We start from the raw sequence: 22,096 nt of genomic DNA on the forward strand, positions 1-22,096 counted from the left end.
CTTAGAATATAGACCAGAAAGGCGAGTAAGAGGTTGCTGAACCAAGAAAATACACACAGGGCAAACGGTCAGTAATCTGTACTATTTCATCAGACGACTGAGAAAAAGAAAATTTATTGACACTTTTGTTCTTAATGCTCACATATAAAGATTTCACTTTACCTCGTGTTTTCAGAAACACTCCAGACACATCAAATAAACTCTCTTGAATTTTAAAATAGAAAAAGGATTGACTGGGCTATGTGTGTGTCTGGGAGTGGGAACACAGGGATGGGAGTAATTCAGGATCAAAAAACAGAGTATTAAGTTTAAAGCAGTTGTTACTCTCTGCCTTCCCCCTCCTTCCTATTCTCCAGAAGGCAGGGTTCATAGTGAAACACTGTGTAGTCTTAGATGCCCCTCCTGGAAAGGCATATGAATCCTAGCCCCACTCCACTCTACTGAAAACTCAGTGATTTAAAGCCTCTTGCTTTAAAAAAGGACTTCTGGTTCAAAAGACTGCTATGATCATGTGTTAACATTCATGTAGAAAAAGTTCTAGTCATATTAATAATCAATAAAAATGCAAGTAAAAACTATCGAAATGCCACTGTGTATATCTTTTAGAGTAGAAAAAAAAACTTCTAATACCTTGTAATGGTAAAACTATAAAAATGATTTTAGGAATTCTGTTGGTAACATTGTAAATTAGGACATCTTTCAGAGGGCTATTGTCAATAAAAAGTGAGTCTAAAGATGTTTTTACTCTGACCAATAATCCTACTTACAAGGCATGATCCTAAGGAAGTTGTTCAACAGAATAAAAGGTATATAGATAATGACCATCATCATCAAATTACTTATTAAAACCACACAAGGAAGCAATCTAAATATTCTGTGATCGGCTTCCACTACAACCCATACACTTTTCTTTTATACTGCTTATCACATTTTAATTATTTGACAACTGTCTCACTACTAGATAGTAAGCTCCATGAGGGTAGTGCTGTCTCTGCCTAGATCTCTGGCACATAAATACAGACTGTAGGAATTAAGAACAAATACTGAAACGTTTATAATTTATTATTTTTAGATGGAGTCTCACTTTGTCGCCCAGGCTGGAGTGCAATGGCGCGATCTCAGCTAACTGCTACCTCCGCCTCCCGGGTTCCAGCGATTCTCCTGCCTCAGACTCCCGAGTAGCTGGGATTACAGGTGCCCACCACTGCATCCGGTTAATTTTTGTATTTTTAGTAGAGACGGGGTTTCACCATGTTGGCCAAGCTGGTTTCGAACTCTTGACCCTCCTCGGCCTCCCAAATCCTGGCCTGCCTCGGTCTCCCAAAGTGCTGGGATTACAGGCGTGAGCCACTGCGCCTGACCTAATTTAATGTCAAGTAAAAATAACACAAAAATATGTGTGCTACAAGTGAAACTGAGTAACATATACACACGATTATTATACAAGATTAAAAATAGTTAAGATGGAGGCATCATTGGCCAACTTTTCAATTATTTTAAATATCCTTTAAAGTTATTTTAGTACCTCTGAAATGAAAAAGCAGGAAAAAATTTGCTGTTATTTACACCAAACTTGACCTTGTAGTAGGGATGAAACGGCCACCATGAAAGCCTGAGGGCCCACTCCCCAGCTTACCCCCAGGTACTCAGTTATTCTTTCTTTGCTCAAGGGTAGAAAGAGCCAAAATACTCATATATCATATGTAGCATAACCCTATTTTCTGTAACAATCTCAAACAAAGGCAGTATGTTGAGAGAGACAGGGAAATGTCTTCTAAAGCAATCCCTTTTGAGCAGTGAATTTGCTGGTTACTAACAGCAGGGGGTGCCAAAGGGATCGCTATTGTTCCCAGGAGACAGCCATGAGAAGGACTGCTGAGGCCTAGGTTGAAAAAAAGCTTAGGTTTGAGAGTAAAATCCAAATGCAGCAGGTTTTCCCTTAACAACTGGGACATGTGGATAAAACTCAGGAGCTCATAAACTTGAATGGATAAAAACTACATTTTAATTTTCACTAACTTCTAATATTTTGCATTTCCTTGATTTATAAGTGTAGGCAAACAATCACAGCAGAATCACAGTGCCAGTGACTCTGTCATGAACAGAAGTCATAGCTAACACTACAGCACATTACAGCTGTTGCAGATTTCTCAAATACCATTTATGCTCATCACCGCTTTGAAACAACAGGCTTCAGGAGTTACTGTTAGGTATACAGCTGGATATTGTTTAATCTACTAGTAAAGCCACACATATTACTATATCATGAATTTGTTCAATAATCTGATAACTTTAAATAACAGAATACTTTTATATTCCAGTGGATTTTATTTTATGCATTTACACACGCTTTTCTGAGAAAGGCACAAAAAAAAAGCTGAAGACATGTGCTCAGTCTCAAGGCAGGCAACTGACAGGGAAGGTCAAATTTGGTCTGAGAGAAAATTATTTTAAGTCACAAGAGAGAAGTGGCCACAGTGCACATTTTCAGTTAGTGTGTATTCCTCGCAGAGAAGGTGCAAACCTAGAAGTTTTGCTTCACAGGCTCCCAGTGCACCAGTGTTTCCAGAGGCCTGGCTCTGGACATGCCGTTCAGAGATCTGCTTCACACAATGTGCCACTGCAAAGCAGTCTGCGTAGCCTAGGTGCAGAGGCATGAAATACAATGCGAATGTCGTCCTCAGCATCTCTCTGGGAGTCATCGTTATTACCAGTGGACTCTCCAGATGCCAAATATCATTTATTTGATGAACAAAACCAAAATCAGATCCAAAATGCTAGAAGGTTGGGATGAGATACCGAGAGAAGTAATAGAGTCAGTACTCACATTCGAACAAAGAGTGACTCTTTGGATGTCAGACCAGGAGATGAGTACTTTTCAACCAGGGCCAAAGTACTGAAGCCAAACTTATGAATGGGCTCATTGGAATCCAGCGGGGGGAAATCGGTGTCCACCTCCCCATCATCCTCAGCAATATGCAGGCAGTAGGCACTGACATTGTCACTGAAAGGAAAACCAAAAAGGCGAGTGAATACCAAGGTAGGGAAGGGACAAGAAGACCAGAGGGTATGGTGCACAGCAAGCAAATTGAGGAGACTGCTTTTCTTTACCCCAAGCCTGGTGATACAGTAAAAAATCCCAAATCCTACTTCATTTGATAGAGAGAATACACATGGCAATGCAAAGGGGAGAAAAACAGTGTGAAATGAAGGTCTTTATACTACTCTATTCTTGCAACATTCACTGAGCCCTATTGCAGCTACGACAAAGAACCTAACCTCTTAGATCAAAGGTGAGATTTAGTATCAGCCCTAAAAGCAGCTTACAGCATAGTAGGGAGGAAAAGTAATAAGCATTACACTAGCTACAATACAAATGTAAAAAATATATATATAAAACAGATACAAACAAAACTGTAAAGGGGGGAAGATTATCTGGCCTCGGGGAAGGCAGGGGTCAGAGGCCTTTGATTTATGGTTAGGATTAAGAAAATATCTGGACAGGCATGGTGGCTCATGCCTGTAATCCCAGCACTTTGGGAGGCTGAGGCAGGCAGATCGCTTGATCCCAGGAGTTCAAGACTAGCTAGGCAACATGGCAAAACCCCATCTCTGCTAAAATACAAAAATTAGCCAGACATGGTGGTATGCGCCTGTAGTTCCAGCTACTCAGGAGGCTGAGGTGAGAGGATCACTTGAGCCCGTGAGGTCGAGGCTGCAGTGAGCTATGATGGTGTTACTTCACTCCAGCCTGGGCAACAGAGTTAAGACCCTGTCTCAAAAAAATAAAATTAAAATTAAAAAAGAAAATATTTGTGCTCTAGATCAGGAGAAATACTCAAGGTAACCAAGACAATCCATACAGTTCTCCCTTCTCTAAAGAGTATCTAAGTCAGTTGGTAGAATCTGACTTCAAACACCATGGATCCTTAGCAGAGTAAAAGCAAATGACTGGATTAGTCCTGACACAGATACCTGGTCCTCTTGACTACTTCTGCACACTTCCCACTCCCTAGAATGTCCAGACAGTACTCCCAGATTGCAGTCTTGCCCAGTTTAGAATCAACACATACCCTCTTTGGGGGAAGTAAAAAGTTGATCTGTTCAAAGAGGATGGGAAACTATACCAACATACAGACAGTGTAAGAGTGCAATCAATTCAATTGCTCCAAACCGCAAACCTGCGAGCTTCAGAATTATGCTAGCTTCAGAAGCAGGAACCCAATAGCTCACAAGGCAGTAGAATTCTAAATTCTGCAGCTTAAGTTTGGAGTTTTAATTACATGATTGATGCTTAAATTAATTAATTGCAAAGTGTATGCTAATTGTTTAATTGGTTGGTTGATCTATATAGATCATTTTTTGAATTAAATGAGTTGATTTACCAAGTTTATTGACTGGATGTGACAATGAATTATTTCACTGACTACCTGACTTGCAATTTTCCCAATTAATTCACAAATCTTTAGCTGCAACTCTGCTTATTGCAAGAGAGGGAGCCTACTTCAGGCGATCTATACTCAGTGAGTCTGTCATGACTAAGAGATATTTATTATAAAAAACAAGTAATAAGGACAAATTAAAATTAATGGAAACTGTAAATTTGCTAAATGGATTGATAACAAGAAAGTAATCTAGCTATGTTTGTCACTTTACATTTCAGGTATTTGTAATGCTGTTAAGATATTTAAAATTCATCTTTGAATGGCATGGGAAACTTTTGGATCTCTGCAGCCGGGTACTAACTTAAAAACAGAACAATTAGAGAGGCAAAAGAAAGCACTTTGGATGAGGAAAATGTCATGGTATACTGGCTAAGAGAGCTCTGTGGTCAGAACGAGTTCAAATTTCAGCTCCATGGCTCATGGCTATGTGATTTCAGAGAATAAGCTTCACCTCGAGTTTCAGTTTCCACTTCTATAAAAAGGGTATAATCGTCCCTCAGAGATTGTAAAGATTAGATCAGATAATATATGTAGTGTCTGGCATGTAACAGAAGTAAAAAATAAATGGGAAGGTAACTATAATAAGAAAGTCATATGGAAACTAACTTATAGTTGCACCAATCCTTAAACACAAATTGTGGATGCATATTAAGCAACAATGCATCTGAGCAGCATGTTCTATGTACACACAACTGTAATGGGAGTCAACATGTCCACTGTGTTCCAACCTTGGAACCTTGGGTCACTGAGCCCCCAGGGTTTTATGAACAGGGCAGACATGGATGGAACAAGCAACAGACAGCACAGATTATTTATTGCCATGTAAATCAACCTGAGGAATGTTTGATTCTCCAGCATCACAGAGGTTCAGGGGCAAATAATAAGCCTATTGATCAAAGCAGAAAAGTCCAACAATGATATCAGAAGAATTCTGCTTTGATTGTTAAGGGACATCCCCAAATCCTCTCAAAACAAATTCAATAAATATCACAGGCTAAGATTTGAGATGCAAAAGGTTCACTGCCAAGTGCTATTATTCTCCCCAGTTCTTAAATATGAAGTGTGAAATCATTCATTCAAAACACATTTGTAAAGTGCCCCCCTGGGCTGTGGCCTGTCCTGAGCATCAGGAACAGAGGAAGGAAAAGAAGACTGATTCCTGCCATATTATACAAGATGAATAGAAGCCTCTTCTGGGTCATCAGTAAAGTCTAGCAGTAAATAGTGCTCCAACTCCTCTGACCCCTTAATTGAAAATCTGAGGAGATAATGACTAAAATTCTATATTCTACACATGGACATACTGGTTCCTTTGGTGCTTTTATAAAGGAATCATTAGTAAAAGAAGCTACTGTGATATTTTGACTTCTAAAACTGCTTCAGGACTCCAAATTAGTACTAGTACAATACCAGCAGTATCATTAGCTACATTTATTGAGTACTATAAGCCAGACACTCTGCAAAGCGGCTTAGATATATAAGCTCACTGAAACTTCACATCAACTTTGTAAATGAATCATTTATATTTCTATTTTACAAATTAGATAACTGAGCCTCAATAGGATTAGGTAGCTTGCTCAAGATTAAACAGCATGTAAGTGACAGGGCTGAGATTCAAATCCAGGCAGCCAAGAGCTGTCCCTCTTGACCCCCACCCATTCCTCTGCCAAAGCCACAGTGTGTCAAGACTTCCTGAGGCACTTGAGAACCCAATCACCTATGGAAATATGACACACTTTGATGAGAAGAAGGAAACCATGACATATTACTTATAAAAAGTTAGATTTAGTTCAACCTCCTTGCTTTTACAGATGGGAAATGGAGGCAGAGAAAAGAGGGATAACATGCTCATGATCACCCAATTAAACAGAGGCAAAGCTGGTCTTGAAAACTCTGGTGTCCCCACTTCTTGTCCATTATTCTTTAAACAAATAAAAAACTGGTGGACTTTGAAATGGGGAGAGAAAAGAAAGGGGGCAGCTCTGGTCCCTGCCTCAGGAAACCCCCCGATACAGACATCTCAGAGTTTACAACACAATGGAAACAGGGGCACTTCCCATGACACAGCTTGGTGGAAAGAACAGGGATTTTGCAGACACAACTGGTTTTAATGCTAACTCAAATTCTTAGACCAAATCTCTTTGAGCTCCATTTTCTTATCGGAAAAACAGCTTTCCTTGATTTCTCTAGGAGAATAGCTTGGATCTCCGAAATTCAAGCAATTCTCCTTTGTGGTCTTACAAAATTTGGTCAATATTTCTGTATATCACTAATCATATTGCTTTTTCCTATTTCTGCATCTGTATTCTAAAGAGCAAGGATTCTTCTATTATCTCTCCATACTTACTAAAGAGTAAAATGACTGGCATTTAGAAGGTACTTAACAAACATTTGTTGAATAAATGAAGATATGAATGTGTAGACTCAATCACTCTATGAAGAAAGCAAAGGGTATTATTATTATTATTATTATTATTATTTTTGAGATGGAGTCTTGCTCTTGTCACCCAGGCTAGAGTGCAATGGCACGATCTCTGCTCACTGAAACCTCTGCCTCCCAGTTTCAAGCGATTCTCCTGCCTCAGCCTCCCAAGTGGGATTATAGGTGCCTGCCACCACACCTGGCTAATTTTTGTATTTTTAGTAGAGACAGGGTTTCGCCATGTTGGCCAGGCTGGTCTCGAACTCCTGACCTCGTGATCCACCCGCCTTGGCCTCCCAAAGTGCTGGGATTATAGGCGTGAGCCACCATGCCCAACCAGCAAAGGGTATTATTAGTGAGGTATGTGTTAATGAGAAGAGGGAAAGTAATAACCTTCTTTTTGTGTTCTTGCTTTTCACAGTGATATCTGTTAACCAAATAGGGCTTTCTAGGCAATGCACATGTGTCAAAGATTGTAATTCAAGACTAGAGGAGAAGGCAGCACAGGCAAAGGTGAGGATGAAAGGGGAATTTTTATAGTCCATCAAGATATGAATACTGGCATCTCACTTTTTATGGAGAAAAAACAGAAATGATGATACTATGTAAAAATTTTCAATTGTCACACATGAAAAGACTAGAAATAAATGTAATGTACCAAATGGGTTAAGTTTACACATACATTTAAGTCACGAGCCCTCTTTTCCTTCTAATTTTATACACTTTCCAAATATCCTGAGTACATATAACTTTTATTTTCCTTTCTTTATAAAAGATTTATTTTTGATGAGGGTAGCACATTTTTATTGTGCACAATTTAGAAATTTGAAGCAGTATGAAGAATGCAGGGAAATCTCTTAGCCCACCACACAGAGAATCACTTGTCCTGGAGACCCTGAGCATTGTCAGCCTCACTCACGTCCCCTTGTTCCTAAGTGGTCATTTTCTCTACCGAGTTCTGGAATTATGAAGGAAGTAACCATATCTACTGCATAAGGGTCTTGTAAGGATTGAATGATTGAATTTATTGCACAGTGCCTGCATGAAGAAAGATTCTCATGTTGCTAAGATTTCTTGCACCGCTCTTAAGCTTCTGATTACGCAGAAGCTGGATTAACTATCTCACAGTAGCAGGGCAGACAGTAGCATGGCAGACAGCATGAAGCAGAGACCTAAAAGTCCTGTTTCTGAGTCACCACCAGAGAAAGACGAATGATCAAAAGAACAATGAACAAGTACAGGATAACTGGATCCACAGGAAGAGACTTAATTTTAGAGTTGGTTTGGCATAAAAAGAGCAGTACCTTTCATGGGACCAGGAAGTCTCCATGAGAATTGGAAGTTTGAACAACGAATGGATGCAAAATAGAGCCTGCTGCCAAAAGAGAGGTGGGTGTGGGGGTGTACAGGGCAGAATATATATGATACATAAATCATATCTCCAAATCTTTAATGAGTACAACTTTCACTTATTCATGTTCCATCAGATAAGATTAAAATTTTCCATTAAAAAATTTATTTCATTGAATTGTTTAACCAATATTCATTTTATGTTCAAAGGCCAGTATAGCTTTCACAAAGCGACAGAAGCCTGTAGCCCATATATAGATAGCATTTAATCCATATGTGAGAATTCAGGAGCATTCCAGGAGGCATCCCAGATTTCTCCCAAATGTGATCTGGCATGTTCAATTTACATACTCATAAAAATTCACTCATCCTCGGAAAATGTAAAACACACTTAAGTATGATGACCAGATAGATGAATGCTTATTGTTTTTTTTTTACATGAAAAATAAAAGAGCACATGATTTTTAAATGTCCAGAACTCTCATTACTTGGGCTTTGGTGTTTATTTTGATGAAAGAATCAATATTAATAGTGTATTGGGCATTAGCAAGGGAAAAAAGGTCATGAGGATTGCAGCTCAGAAGCTGATATCTCTGAAATCAGAGAAAAGGCGTTTAAGGTGATCAAGATTTCCTTTTCTCCAAAACCCCTCAGGAAAGTGAGGTCCAAAAAAACCTCAGGAAGTTAGATAACTTCCTGATCCTCAGTTTCTCTCCTGCAAAAAAAAAAAAAAAAAAAAAAAAAGGTTATTATCTATAACTTACAGAGATGTTGTAAGGAATAAAATAATACACTTGAAGTGCTTAGCATGTGGTGTAACACATAGTAGGCCCTCCAGTGTGTATCTACCAACCCATTAACTAGCAGTGTGGTGACTAGCAATTGGGAAATGTTGATAATGGGTTTTCTTTCTGTCTAGGTCACGGAACAAAATGTATGCAATAATTCCACATCTGTCACTTAAATAAAATACATCAGCAGGTTGAGAAATCTAACTTGGTGATTTTTACTGAATAAAATTCTATATACAGTCAGAAGCTTATTTTAGCACACACCTGAAGAAGGGCCTCCTTGGCATGGCAAGGGTAGAGAATTTCAGTCCAGATCTTTAAATGTTCCTATGTTCTCTCACCCATTCCACAAATTATTCATTGAGTATTTGCTATGTGTTAAGCATTGTGTATGGACTGAGGAATACAAGCCCATAAAACAGACACAGTCCAGACTCAAAACTATCCTACTACAACTTATAAGACTTCTTGCTGGGTGTGGTGACTCACACCTATAATCCTAGCACTTTGGGAGGTCAAGGCAGGCAGACTGCTTGAGCCCAGGAGTTTGAGACTAGCCTGGGCAACATGGTGAAACCCCATCTCTATAAAAAATACAAAAATTAGCTGGGTGTGGTGGCACATGCTTGTAGTCCCAGCTACTTAGGAGGTGAAGTGCGAGGATAGCTTGAGCCTGGGAGGATGAGGCTGCCGTGAGCTGCGATTGCACCCCTGCAGCAGCATGGGCAACAGAGTGAGACACTGTCTTGAAAAAGAAAAAGAAAAAGAAAAAGAAAAAGAAAAAGAAAAAAGACTTCTTCATTCACTTGGATGTCTCTCAAGTAATCTCCGCCTTCATTACACCCAAAACTGAACTCCACTCACACTGAGAAACCTATTTCTATAGGATATCCCATTTCGACCTTGCCATCCACACAGTTCTTCAATGTCCACCCAGTCTTAGGCCTGTCTCTCTTTTCATTCATCCATGCTAGAAGTTTTAATTAATATTTACGTAGATGACTCCTAAATTCATATTTCCAGCTCATATCTCTCCCCTCTAAACTCCAGACAAGAAAATACAAGTGACTACTTGAACACTTTGTTTAGATCTAGCAAAGCCACCTCAAACTAACAGGCAGAAAACCAAACTCATGCCGCCCCTATCCCTCCTAGTCACACAGCAAGCCCCAACAAAACCTGCTGTTCCAATGCTAGCTATTTCAGTGAAGAGCACCACAGTGCATCACGGTGTGTGAGTCATGAAGCCTCTCCTCTGCCACACTCTCCATATTGAGTTCAGCCCAAGTCCTTGTGAATTCCATTTCTCAAATACTCCCAGAATCTGTCCACTTCTCTCAATCCCCACTGTGACCCCTGCCTACCTCTCGGTCTCATTCTGTCAAAGGCGTGTGAGTCAGAGCAACTCCATCTTAAATAGAGCTGGGTAAAATGAGGCTGAAACCTACTGGGCTGCATTCCCAGATGGTTAAGGCATTTGGATGAGACGGGAGGTCAACACAAAATACAGGTCATAAAGACATTGCTGATAAAAGGTTGCAGTAATGGAGCCAGCTAAAACCCACTGAAACCAAAATGGCAACAAGAGCGACCTCTGGTCATCCTCACTGCTACACTCCCACCAGCGCCATGACAGTTTACAAATGCCATGGCAATATCAGAAAGTTACCCTATATGGTCTAAAAAGGGGAGGCATGAATAATCCACTGTTGTTTAGCATATCATCAAGAAATAACTATAAAAATAGGCAACCAGCAGCTCCCGGGGCTGCTCTGTCTGTGGAGTAGCCATTCTTTTATTCCTTTTTTTCTTAATAAACTTGCTTTCACTTTGCACTGTGGACTTGCCCTGAATTCTTTCTTGCGTGAGATCCAAGAACCCTCTCTTGGAGTCTGGATCAGGACCCCTGTCCTGTAACATCTTCCTGGAGATCATGAAGGGACTATAGTGAGAAAACCCTGACTCAATGGCTACCTTTGGGTAAATGTTGGGGTCCTGTAACATCTTTCTGGCAATGACAGAAGTGACTATACTTCGGAAACCCCTGATCCAACAAAAGCTAACTTTGGGTAAGTGGTGGGGTCTGGTAACATCTTTCTCTCGAACCACAAAAGGGACAATACTGAGGAGACCCTCCGACGCAAAGGAAATAGACTGGAGCACTGATTGGACAACTTTGGGTAAGTAATGGGGTACCCGGGTAAAGAATGAGATTGGTAAAGAATGAGACTGGGGTAGAGGCCCAACTTAGGGGAGTCAGAGTCTCTCCTAAGACAGAGTGGGTTAGAGTCCCCTCTTAATAAAAGGCAAGGACGCCTGACTGACCTTGGGTTAGAGGCCCAACTTAGGAGGGTTAAAGTCCCTTCTAAGATTTAGGGGGTTAAAGGCCCCTCTCGGTAAAGTCCTTGGATAAGAATAGGTTTGGCACTATGGGATGTTAACTGTTATTCTCTTTGGATTAATCCGCCTTGCACTCTTTGCTGATGACTGTGGATGACAGGGTTAGGCATGTACTGGATCGTGGGATATGAGGAGTTTTTTCCTTCCTAAAAGGGGAAACTTGAGAGCTGATGGGACTGCTAGAAAAGGTCCGTTTGCAACCAACGAGCAGCCGCCTGAACTTTTCATTGTCGGCTGCATTGAGTGGGTCTTTTACCTGACCTTCCTAAGCTCTTCACCTTCCCCACCCTGCCACAGGCAATACTTTCCTTCTGTACTTTTCCTTTCCTTTCTTTTCTGTTACTCAGGGCAACCACCCTGCCCAGCCACCACATGTTGAAACTCTAAGTCAGAGGTTGGATTAAAGATGATGGGGCCCATCTGAGGGCAAATTTAAGCCTTGCCAGTTTGATATTGGGTGCTAAGCAAAGTGGCTAATGTCTATGTTTTATTACATGTATTTTGCTCTGGCCAGAATGAAAAAAAATAATTTTCCTTTATGATGCAGCTTGGCCCCCAGGGCAATGGTGCTGCAAGCTGGATCACTGGGGCCGCTCAGGGAAAGGGAATCCAGAAGCCTGGCATGCTGACAAAAGGGTAAGAATTTCTTTCCAGTCAGATTTCTGGCTTCTTCCTCTCTGTGCAAACGGGTCCATGAATGGTTTAAAAAAAAAATCAGCGTTTATCTCCTCTGTAAAGCTTTGATTAATGCGAAAAAGAATTCTAAGGCTAGTCTTAAGCTGGTGTATTTTGTGCTATGAATTAGTCGTTCTGTGTCGAGGGGTACTTCAGGGTAAAACACGGGCTTAGAACACCTGTAAGCCCACTTTTCCAGACAAGCCAGCAAGTTGGTCAGTAACAAACTTGAATACAGGTCCCTTAAACAAAAAAACTGGATGATGTCTCCACCTTGTTTTATGCCCTTGGGGGCTTGACCTTTTAACCACGTTTAATGCCTTCCAGGGAACAGGAATTTTAGGGTTCATGTCATAGTTAGCTCTAAAAATCATATTAAATAGTTAAAAGCCTTTGCAAGCTCAAAATGAACTACTCTAGACTCCTTCTGGGAAAGGAAATGGAGACTGCCCCATGCTATCTATCGCTCAGTAGCTAAGGTTTTTGCACTTTCACAGTGGCGGTCCGGGTTCAATTCCCCACCTAGGAAGTAAGTCGTTTCTGGTTTAATATCTGCGTGACCTTGTCTATTCTTTTCTCCTCCGCGGACTATCTTAAATTTTCCTTTCTCTGAATACCTGGGAGGTTACCTGTGGTAAAATTCAAAAGCCAGAAATATCAGCTGCTTGGCATAAGAAATTCTAAAAGGACGTTATTAGAGAGTGCTACAGTTAAAATCAGTTTAATTAAAAGTGGATATTCAAGCTCTAACAGCCTCCTTGGGAAAAACAGGAGGCACCAGAGACCCCTTTCCTGGCCCTGTTCTTCCAAGGACTCCACCCTAAAGCCAGTAATCCAACTAAGAAACTTAAAAACTGGCAAATGAAAAATCTTACAACTACTGTAGTAATCTTCTTCTGTCTTTCTGTGTAGCTACATATGTGTTGTGTGTAATGCTTATATAAAAGAGCTCTAATTGGCTTAAACAAAATTAAGCACTTAAATATTTTAAAAGTAAAATAAAAACTGTAATGCCTTTTGGTTCATGTAACTTTAGTAATCTTTGGGAAATGAAAACAGCTTTAAAAATGACTGATAAAAATGTTTAGTCTAAATTATGCAGGTCAGATATTAAGTTGGCTAAATGCTTTAAGGTCATGAACTGCTTCTTTAACTTTTAAAAATTGTTTAATTTACCTACCTTAAAGCCATTAAATGCTAGATAAGGCCTGGGGACATGTGGAACTAGCCATGCCCCCTAGCTATACAAAGAAGATTACAAAGAAAGACATTTTATATAAGAAAGGATCTTGTATGGTAAATTCTTGTCCTAAAGTAAAATAACTGGTTGTTTAAAAGGAGGGAGGTTTAGGGCAAGTTAGAAAGTCCAAGAGTCTCAAATGGTATGGGTAAGTCATGAAAAAATTTGTGAAAGGGAATTTATGCACGAAAAGTTGTCCAATTCAAAGGTTGTTAGATCTGCTAAACGCTTCATGAAATGCCACTATGGTTCTTACTGTATAACTTGCCTGCTTTACAGCTAGGTAAGGCCTGGGGACATGTGGAGTTAGACATGCCCCCAGCTATGCTGGAGAGTCAGACCTTATCTGCACTTCTGCCTGGTGTGTCCTAGTGTATCTAGGAGCAGTACACTGCTCCACACCTAGTGTAGAATTAAAATCTCAAACTTACCAAAGTTTTCACCAAAAATAAAAGTTGCTAAGAGTTAACATTATAATATGCAATTGAAACTACTGAAATAATTTTACATGCAATGTGTAAAGAAAGTAAAATTTGTTTTTGGTGAAAGATTGTAAGAAATCATGGGAATGTGAATTTTTTTCTGCCTAAAGTATTGAAGGATTGTTTTAAGTAAGAAAAAAAAATCTAAAGGTTTAAACAAGTTGTGAAAGGTTTATAAAAAGTAACTTTAAGAGATTCAGTGTGTGAACATATTGGCTAAAGTTAAAGGGGTACTATTCAATTTTTCCACAAATTAAATTTTAGAATAAAAGCACAACAGGTTTTTCTTAGCGCACTCATCTGCTCTTTCATAAAAAAAAAAAATGTAAAGGGTTATAAAGGTTTATAAGAATCTTAACTTACGGTTAAACATTAAAATTCAGTAAATATGTCTAAAAGATTTTATTAAAAATTGCATTTAACATTAATAGTACATTAATATGAAGGTGAAATCTGGCTTATTTGGTATAAAAATCATACATTATCAAATGTAAAATGGTGTTTTGCTTTCTTTGGACTATATGTGCATAAATGTGTTATTGGTATATGTTCCAAATTATGGGAAACTCCTATAATTCTAATATAACTTAGTGTATGTAATTAATCATTATAATTGTTATGTAAAATTTTGTGTGCCACAGAAGTAACCAAATTTCCTTATCAATTGTGGCTTTAATAGTGGCTGTCCTAAAACTTTTTATCATCTACAGACCATTGTTGTCTTGTTTTAATCCTCTTTAGAAGGTGGTTTATAATTAACTAGAGAACTCTAGCAGGTGTTCTTAAACGCAGGTTTCTAATAACTTTGGAAATTGTAAGATTAGAATAGAGGAAACAACTTTTAAAACTCTTATGAAGAGCTGGAATGTTCATGAATATCTAATAGAACATAAGTTAACTGAATTAACTGGACCAATAGCAAACTAACGTAATCTTTTTAACTTTGCTTAAATGCTGCTGATCCGGCCAGGTGCAGTGGCTCATGCCTGTAATCCTAGCACTTTGGGAGGCCGAGGCAGGTGGATCACCTGAGGTCAGGAGTTTGAGACGAGCATGGCCAACGCATGGTGAAACCCCATCTTTACTAAAAAAAAATACAAAAATTTGCCAGGTATGGTGGTACATGCCTGTAATCCCAGCTATTCGGGAGGCTGAGGAAGGAGAATCGCTTGAACCTGGGAGGCAGAGATTGCAGTGAGCCAAGATCGCGCCACTGCACTCCAGCCTGCTCGACGGGAGCGAGACTCTATCTCAAAATAAATAAATAAATAAATAGAATATCCTGCTGATCCTTTGTTTTTCAGAGTCAAGGAAACTTTTCATTTGAGCTATTTACAGCTTTTACCAATTAAGTAAAGTATACTCCTGTAAACAAAATTTGGAGCATATTTGTTTCTCTCTACCTGATTTCTCCAAAATTTGGAAACTATTTGTGAGCATTCTTAATTTATGGCAATATAGTTATTTGCATAAGTGCAATAAGAATCTGTTTTCTTTTATAACAGAACACAACTGAAGAAACTAGTTATTTTCCCAAGGCTTTAACTGGAATGGTGTGTACAAGGTTTCTGACCTGTGATAAGTAAAGAATGTCACTTTCTAACAGGTCCAGGAGCCCCAAGTTATCTTGGGACCCCAAGAGGAGAGGAATTTACTCAACTAATAGGTATTTGAGGGTACAAAACCATGGCTGAGCTTGGTTTTAAGAAATCTTAACTAAGATTCCTTCTATGGAACAGAGTTCCATCAAAGCCAATTTTAAAAGAGGCTATGTGAAAAATAATTATTCTTGCTGCACTTTATACAAATAATCAGGCCAAGTATAATAAAGCAAATCAGTCTTACCATGATTTGTCTTTAGTAAAAATGAAAAACTGGAGAATGAAATATTATGTTTCAAGAACTATGGTACACTTTCTACTAAATTCTAGCCTCATTAGTTGTTTTTAAGTTTGTTTCTGCAATTTAGGCTAACCCTGCTTATTCCTGTGAACCAAAGAGTGATCTCTGACTTGTGGTCAGAAGAAACAAGAGGGATGAGTAATGTAAAAATCTGGATCAGTATTCTAATTCTGGGCACATTACAATCAGCTAACAATCCCATATCGGCTTAGTTCCAACAGTTGCCCAGTTCATGTAAAGCCTTCTAATTTAGTTTACTTGGAATAACTTTACTTATTTTGCTTTACTCTTGTGGAATATACTGCTGTTATACTCTTTGTGTAGGAATACAGGACAAGCTTACTGAATGTTTTCTTAAATTAAACACTTATTAATCTTCCAGATATTGCCTTTTCTCAAAACTCAAGAGTTATGAATGGACCTTACCATACTGATGCTTTCTCACTGAGCTCCTGTCTACTCTGAATGCAAGAAACCCTCATAGTTAGGCAGGAATATCATAATCGCTATTCAGCCTGAAGAAGTTAAAGAAGATGGATCTTCATCCCTCTGCAACTCTTACGATTAAAGAGTTCTCTTATAAAAGGGGGGGGGGGGGGGACATGAGAGGTGTGTGAACCAGAGCAACTCCATCTTAAATAGGAGCTGGGTAAAATGAGGCTGAAACCTACCAGGCTGCACTCCCAGACAGTTAAGGCATTCTAAGTCACAGGATGAGATAGCAGGTCAGCACAAAATAAAGGTCATAACAACCTTACTGACAAAACAGGTTGCAGTAAAGGAGCCAGCCAAAACACACCCAAACCAAAATGGCAACAAGAGTGACCTCTGGTCATCCTCACTGCTACACTCCCACCAGTGCCATGACAGTTTACAAATGCCATGGCAACATCAGGAAGTAACCCTATATGGTCTAAAAAGGGGAGGCATTAATAATCCACCCCTTGTTTAGCATATCAGCAAGAAATAACCATAAAAATGGGCAACCAGCAGCCCCAAAGGGTTGGCTATGGAACAGCCATTCTTTCATTTCTTTACTTTCTTAACAAACTTGCTTTCATTTTGCACTGTGGGATCACCCTGAATTCTTTCTTGCATGAGATCCAAAAACCCTCTTGGGGTCTGGATCAAGACCCCTGTCCTGTAACAATCCCACTCTGTTCTCCCTGTTCTTTGTGCTCCAGTCACACTGACCTTCTTTTGTTCCCTGACCACAACATGCTTCCTCCAGCAATAAGGTGGCTGCCACACTGCTCCATCTGCTGGGACCCTCCCCTGCCCCAATGCCTCCTGTATCACTTTCTTGGGGAATTTCTCCCTGACTTCCAGGCAAAGCTCTCATAAACAGTGTTCCTTTCCTTCAGAGCACTTAATTCAGTTTTAAAGCAAACATTATTTAGTTTAACTATCTGAATTAATTATTTTAGTTATTTGCCCACTTCCTTCAATAGACTGTGGAATTCCTGAAAGCGAGACCATGCCTGGCTCTACTCACCACTGTATACCCAGCAAAATGCCTGGTATATAGCAAACACTCAATAAATATTTGTTGAATGCATGAATGAATAGAAATGATAAGTGAAATGAGCCAGTTACAAAGTGCTTTTACCCTTGATAATTTCTTCTTCCCCAACAAACTGTGCATTTTTTAGTGCAGTGATCACATTTCTCTTGTTCTCCATTTTATCCTGAATACTTAGGGTCTGAAACTCCAAAAACATTTATTAAATGAAGGAATGAAGGACTTAAGCTTCTGAGATTAAGCAGAATGCCAAGAGGAGAAGAATGAGAAAAGCATTTCTGACTACAGAAATAGCAAAAGCACTTATGGTATTGATGTTAAAAAGCTGCCAGTAAAAGAATGTGATGCCTTAGGATATATGGGAGCACAGCTGGGAGTCAGAATAGGAAGGGCCACTTCAGCTGTACTGTTTAGGTGAGTAGTTCTCATGATGACTCTAAGAAATATAAAGCAGAAGCAGCAACCCAGAAATGGGAGAAGACACAGGTGGGCATGCAGATGGTAAAAAAGGGGACTATCAAGAACATACTGAAGAGTTCAAATAACGAAGTTGTCTGGAAATACATAATGTCAGGTCAAACACTGCCAAATACTGTCCTAAGTCCACAGGGCATCAGAATATCATAGCATAGTAAAATTACTTGAGTCATCAAAAAAGGACTAAATTACACTACTACTGCTGAACTACTTACTAATATTGGTTGTGGTAGTAGCTGGCTGCGGTTACAGTAGTTAGGAGGAGCAGAAATGAACATTTATTGAGCACTTGCTATGTATTTTCTCATTTTATTTTCATTACTACCCTGTTAGATAGTTTCCACCCTCATTTTATACATGAGAAAATCATACTACATGGGGCTTAAGTAATTCATTTAAAATCATCCTGCTAGTAGGCGTTAACACCAGAATTAAAACCCAGCCTGTAGCTGTGAATCTCACACTTTCAGCCACTATGTTATATTCTGATTAAGAAAGTACAGAAAGATGTTAACACAATTTAGAGAGCTCCTATGAAGAATAACTCAAATGAAGTTTGGCCAGGCATGGTGGCTCAGGCCTATGATTCTAGTACTTTGGGAGACTGAGGCAGGATGATTGCTTTAAGCCAGGAATTCAAGACCACCCAAGGCAACAAAGCTCTTGCAAAAAATTTGTGCCACTACAAAAAATTTTAAAAATTAGCCAAGTGTAGGGACATGCACCTGTAGTTCTAGCTACTTGGGAGGCAAAGGTGGGAGGATTACTTGAGCCCAGGAGTTCAAGGCTGCAGTGAACTGTAATTGCACAACCGCACTCCAACCTGAGCAACAGAGTCTTAAAATAAATGAATAAAATGTGATGCTTGATGAGATAAGCCCTCAAATAGCTACAAAACCCACCAACTTTCCCTAAGCAGTCTAGATGGCTGAGGTCCTATCAAAATGATGCTAATCCAGAGTTATCTCCAATGCATGACTATACCATGTATTGTTACACACTGGACTGTCTAATGTATAGTGGCCATTAAAAATGGGCAAAAGATAAGAACAGCTCACCAAAGAAGACAAACGGTAACAAATAAGCATATGAAGATGCTCAACATGATGTAATTAGGGAATTACAAATTAAAACAACGACATACCACTACACACCTATTAAAACAGCTAAAATTGAAAATACTGATAAAAACCAAATGCTGGTGAGGATTTGGAGCAACAACTCTCATTCCTCACTGGTGGGAATGCCAAATGGTATGACCACTTTGGAAGACAGTTTGGCAGTGTCTTATATCATAGGCTTACCATACAATTTGTCAATCACACTCCTACATATTTGCCCAAATGAGCTGAAAACTTACATCCACATAAAAATCTGCACATGAATACTTACAGTGCCTTTATTCATAATTCCCAAAAATTAGAAGCAACCAAGATATCTTTCAATAGATGAATGAATAAATGAACTGTGGTAAATCCATGCAGTCCATTACTTAACAACAGTGAGAAATAAGTGTATCACACAAAGGATGCTTAAATGCATACTGCTAAGTGAAAAAAGCTAGTCTGAAAAGGCTACATATGGTATGATTCCAACTAGATGGCGTTCTGTAAAATGCAATACTACAGAGACAGAAAAAAGGCCAGTGGTTGCCAGCAGTGGTGGGTAGGGTTGAATAGATGGAGCACAGGACATTTTTAGGGCAGTGAAGCCATTCTGTATGATACAACCATTAGAGCTGCACAAGAGTGAACCCTAATGTATAACTGCTGGCTTTTGTTAATAATATTGGTTCATCAACTTTAACAAATGTACCACACTAATGCAAGATATTAGTAACAGGAGTAAAATGAGGGATTGGAAGGATATGTATGGGAACTCACTGTATTTTCTGTGCAAATTTTCTGTAAACCTAAAACTGCTCTAAAAAATAGTCGATTAAAATTTTTTTAAAAAAACGAAGCATAGCTCTCCCTCTCCCTCTCCCTCTCCCCACGGTCTCCCTCTCCCTCTCCCCACGGTCTCCCTCTCTTTCCACGGTCTCCCTCTGATGCCCAGCCGAAGCTGGACTGTACTGCTGCCATCTCAGCTCACTGCAACCTCCCTGCCTGATTCTCCTGCCTCAGCCTGCAGAGTGCCTGCGACTGCAGGCGCACGCCGCCACACCTGACTGGTTTTTGTATTTTTTTGGTGGAGACGGGGTTTCGCTGTGTTGGCCGGGCTGGTCTCCAGCTCCTAACCGCGAGTGATCCGCCAGCCTCGGCCTCCCGAGGTGCTGGGATTGCAGACGGAGTCTCGTTCACTCAGTGCTCAATGGTGCCCAGGCTGGAGTGCAGTGGCGTGATCTCGGCTCGTTACAACCTCCACCTCCCAGCCGCCTGCCTTGGCCTCCCAAAGTGCCGAGATTGCAGCCTCTGCCGGGCCGCCACCCCGTCTGGGAAGTGAGGAGCGTCTCTGCCTGGCCGCCCATCGTCTGGGATGTGAGGAGCCCCTCTGCCTGGCTGCCCAGTCTGGAAAGTGAGGAGCATCTCTGCCCGGCCGCCATCCCATCTAGGAAGTGAGGAGCGCCTCTTCCCGGCCGCCATCCCATCTAGGAAGTGAGGAGCGTCTCTGCCCGGCCGCCCATCGTCTGAGATGTGGGGAGCGCCTCTGCCCTGCCGCCCCGTCCGGGATGTGAGGAGCGTCTCTGCCCGGCTGCCCCGTCTGAGAAATGAGGAGACCCTCTGCCTGGCAACCGCCCCGTCTGAGAAGTGAGGAGCCCCTCCACCCAGCAGCCGTCCCGTCTGAGAAGTGAGGAGCCCCTCCGCCCGGCAGCCACCCCGTCTGGTAAGTGAGGAGCGTCTCCGCCCGGCAGCCACCCCGTCCGGGAGGGAGGTGGGGGGTCAGCCCCCCGCCTGGCCAGCCTCCCCGTCCGGGAGGGAGGTGGGGGGATCAGCCCCCCGCCCAGCCAGCCGCCCCGTCTGGGAGGTGAGGGGCACCTCTGCCAGGCCACCCCTACTGGGAAGTGAGGAGCCCCTCTGCCTGGCCGGCCGCCCCGTCCAGGAGGGAGGTGGGGGGGTCAGCCCCCCGCCCTGCCAGCCGCCCCGTCCGGGAGGGAGGTGGGGGGGGTCAGCCCCCCGCCCGGCCAGCCGCCCCGTCCAGGAGGGAGGTGGGGGTCCGGGAGGGAGGTGGGGGGGTCAGCCCCCCACCCGGCCGGCCGCCCCATCCGGGAGGTGAGGGGCGCCTCTGCCTGGCCGCCCCTACTGGGAAGTGAGGAGCCCCTCTGCCGGGCCAGCCGCCCCGTCCAGGAGGGAGGATGGGGGGTCAGCCCCCGGCCCGGCCAACCGCCCCGTCCGGGAGCTGAGGGGCGCCTCTGCCCGGCCGCCCCTACTGGGAGGTGAGGAGCCCCTCTGCCCGGCCACCACCCCGTCTGGGAGGTGTACCCAACAGCTCATTGAGAACAGGCCATGATGACAATGGCGGTTTTGTGGAATAGAAAGGGGGGAAAGGTGGGGAAAAGATTGAGAAATCGGATGGTTGCCGTGTCTGTGTAGAAAGAGGTAGACACGGGAGACTTTTCATTTTGTTCTGTACTAAGAAAAATTCTTCTGCCTTGGGATCCTGTTGATCTATGACCTTACCCCCAACCCGGTGCTCTCTGAAACATGTGCTGTGTCCACTCAGGGTTGAATGGATTAAGGGCGTGCAAGATGTGCTTTGTTAAACAGATGCTTGAAGGCAGCATGCTCGTTAGGAGTCATCACCACTCCCTAATCTCAAGTACCCAGGGACACAAACACTGCGGAAGGCCGCAGGGTCCTCTGCCTAGGAAAACCAGAGACCTTTGTTCACTTGTTTATCTGCTGACCTTCCCTCCACTATTGTCCTGTGACCCTGCCAAATCCCCCTCTGCGAGAAACACCCAAGAATGATCAATAAAAAATAAATAAATACGAAAAAAAAAGCATAAAAAAAGATAGTTCTTATGAAATGAAAATCACTTACATGAGTCAAAAAAGAAAAACCTCACAAAATTATTAACATATCTAAAACAGAAGGCAAAAGTAAAAGACTGAAGAAAGAGCAAAGAAGAGCAGGGGAAAAAAAGCTCAGATTGCTGATGAAGCAAAGAAACAGGCAAGACACAATCATAAACAGAACAAATAAGACCGGTTTATACTGAAGTAGAACTGATAATAAAGACACAAAACACATGAATCTTTATGTGAACTGAAATATATAAAGTGCATACTATTGAAATATTAGGAAAAGTTAACAGAAACACACAAGATGGAAATTTTAATGCATTTCTCTTAATCATCCATAGACCAAATAGTCAAAAACCCTAAGATAATAGAAATAAGTAATTAAGGACATTGACTTAATAAGTATATATTGAGGTCCATAACCG

The 22,096-nt window shown here is 41.3% G+C and overlaps 1 protein-coding gene and 1 long non-coding RNA gene across 8 annotated transcripts in view; one reads left to right on the forward strand and one right to left on the reverse strand.

The window, feature by feature from the left end:
* The window catches only part of MAPKAP1 (MAPK associated protein 1), a 269,815-nt gene that overhangs the window by 119,412 nt on the left and 128,307 nt on the right, over positions 1-22,096 (reverse strand). For all 6 annotated transcript variants that reach the window (NM_001006621.2, NM_001006620.2, NM_024117.4 and 3 more), the window contains one exon: positions 2,828-3,004. In NM_001006621.2, the coding sequence (NP_001006622.1) occupies positions 2,828-3,004 (177 nt within the window). The remainder of the gene's footprint in view (positions 1-2,827; positions 3,005-22,096) is intronic.
* On the forward strand, positions 6,930-20,808 carry LOC105376272 (uncharacterized). Of its 2 annotated transcripts, XR_007061777.1 has the most exons (4): positions 6,930-11,188; positions 11,956-12,044; positions 14,776-14,916; positions 16,090-20,808. It is a non-coding gene; the product is annotated as an uncharacterized LOC105376272 (long non-coding RNA). The 2 variants fall into 2 exon arrangements; XR_930349.4 differs by lacking the exon at positions 14,776-14,916 and having other exon boundaries at positions 16,090-20,532.

This window comes from Homo sapiens, chromosome 9 (genome assembly GCF_000001405.40).
Source record: "Homo sapiens chromosome 9, GRCh38.p14 Primary Assembly".
NCBI classification, from domain to species: Eukaryota; Metazoa; Chordata; class Mammalia; order Primates; family Hominidae; genus Homo; species Homo sapiens.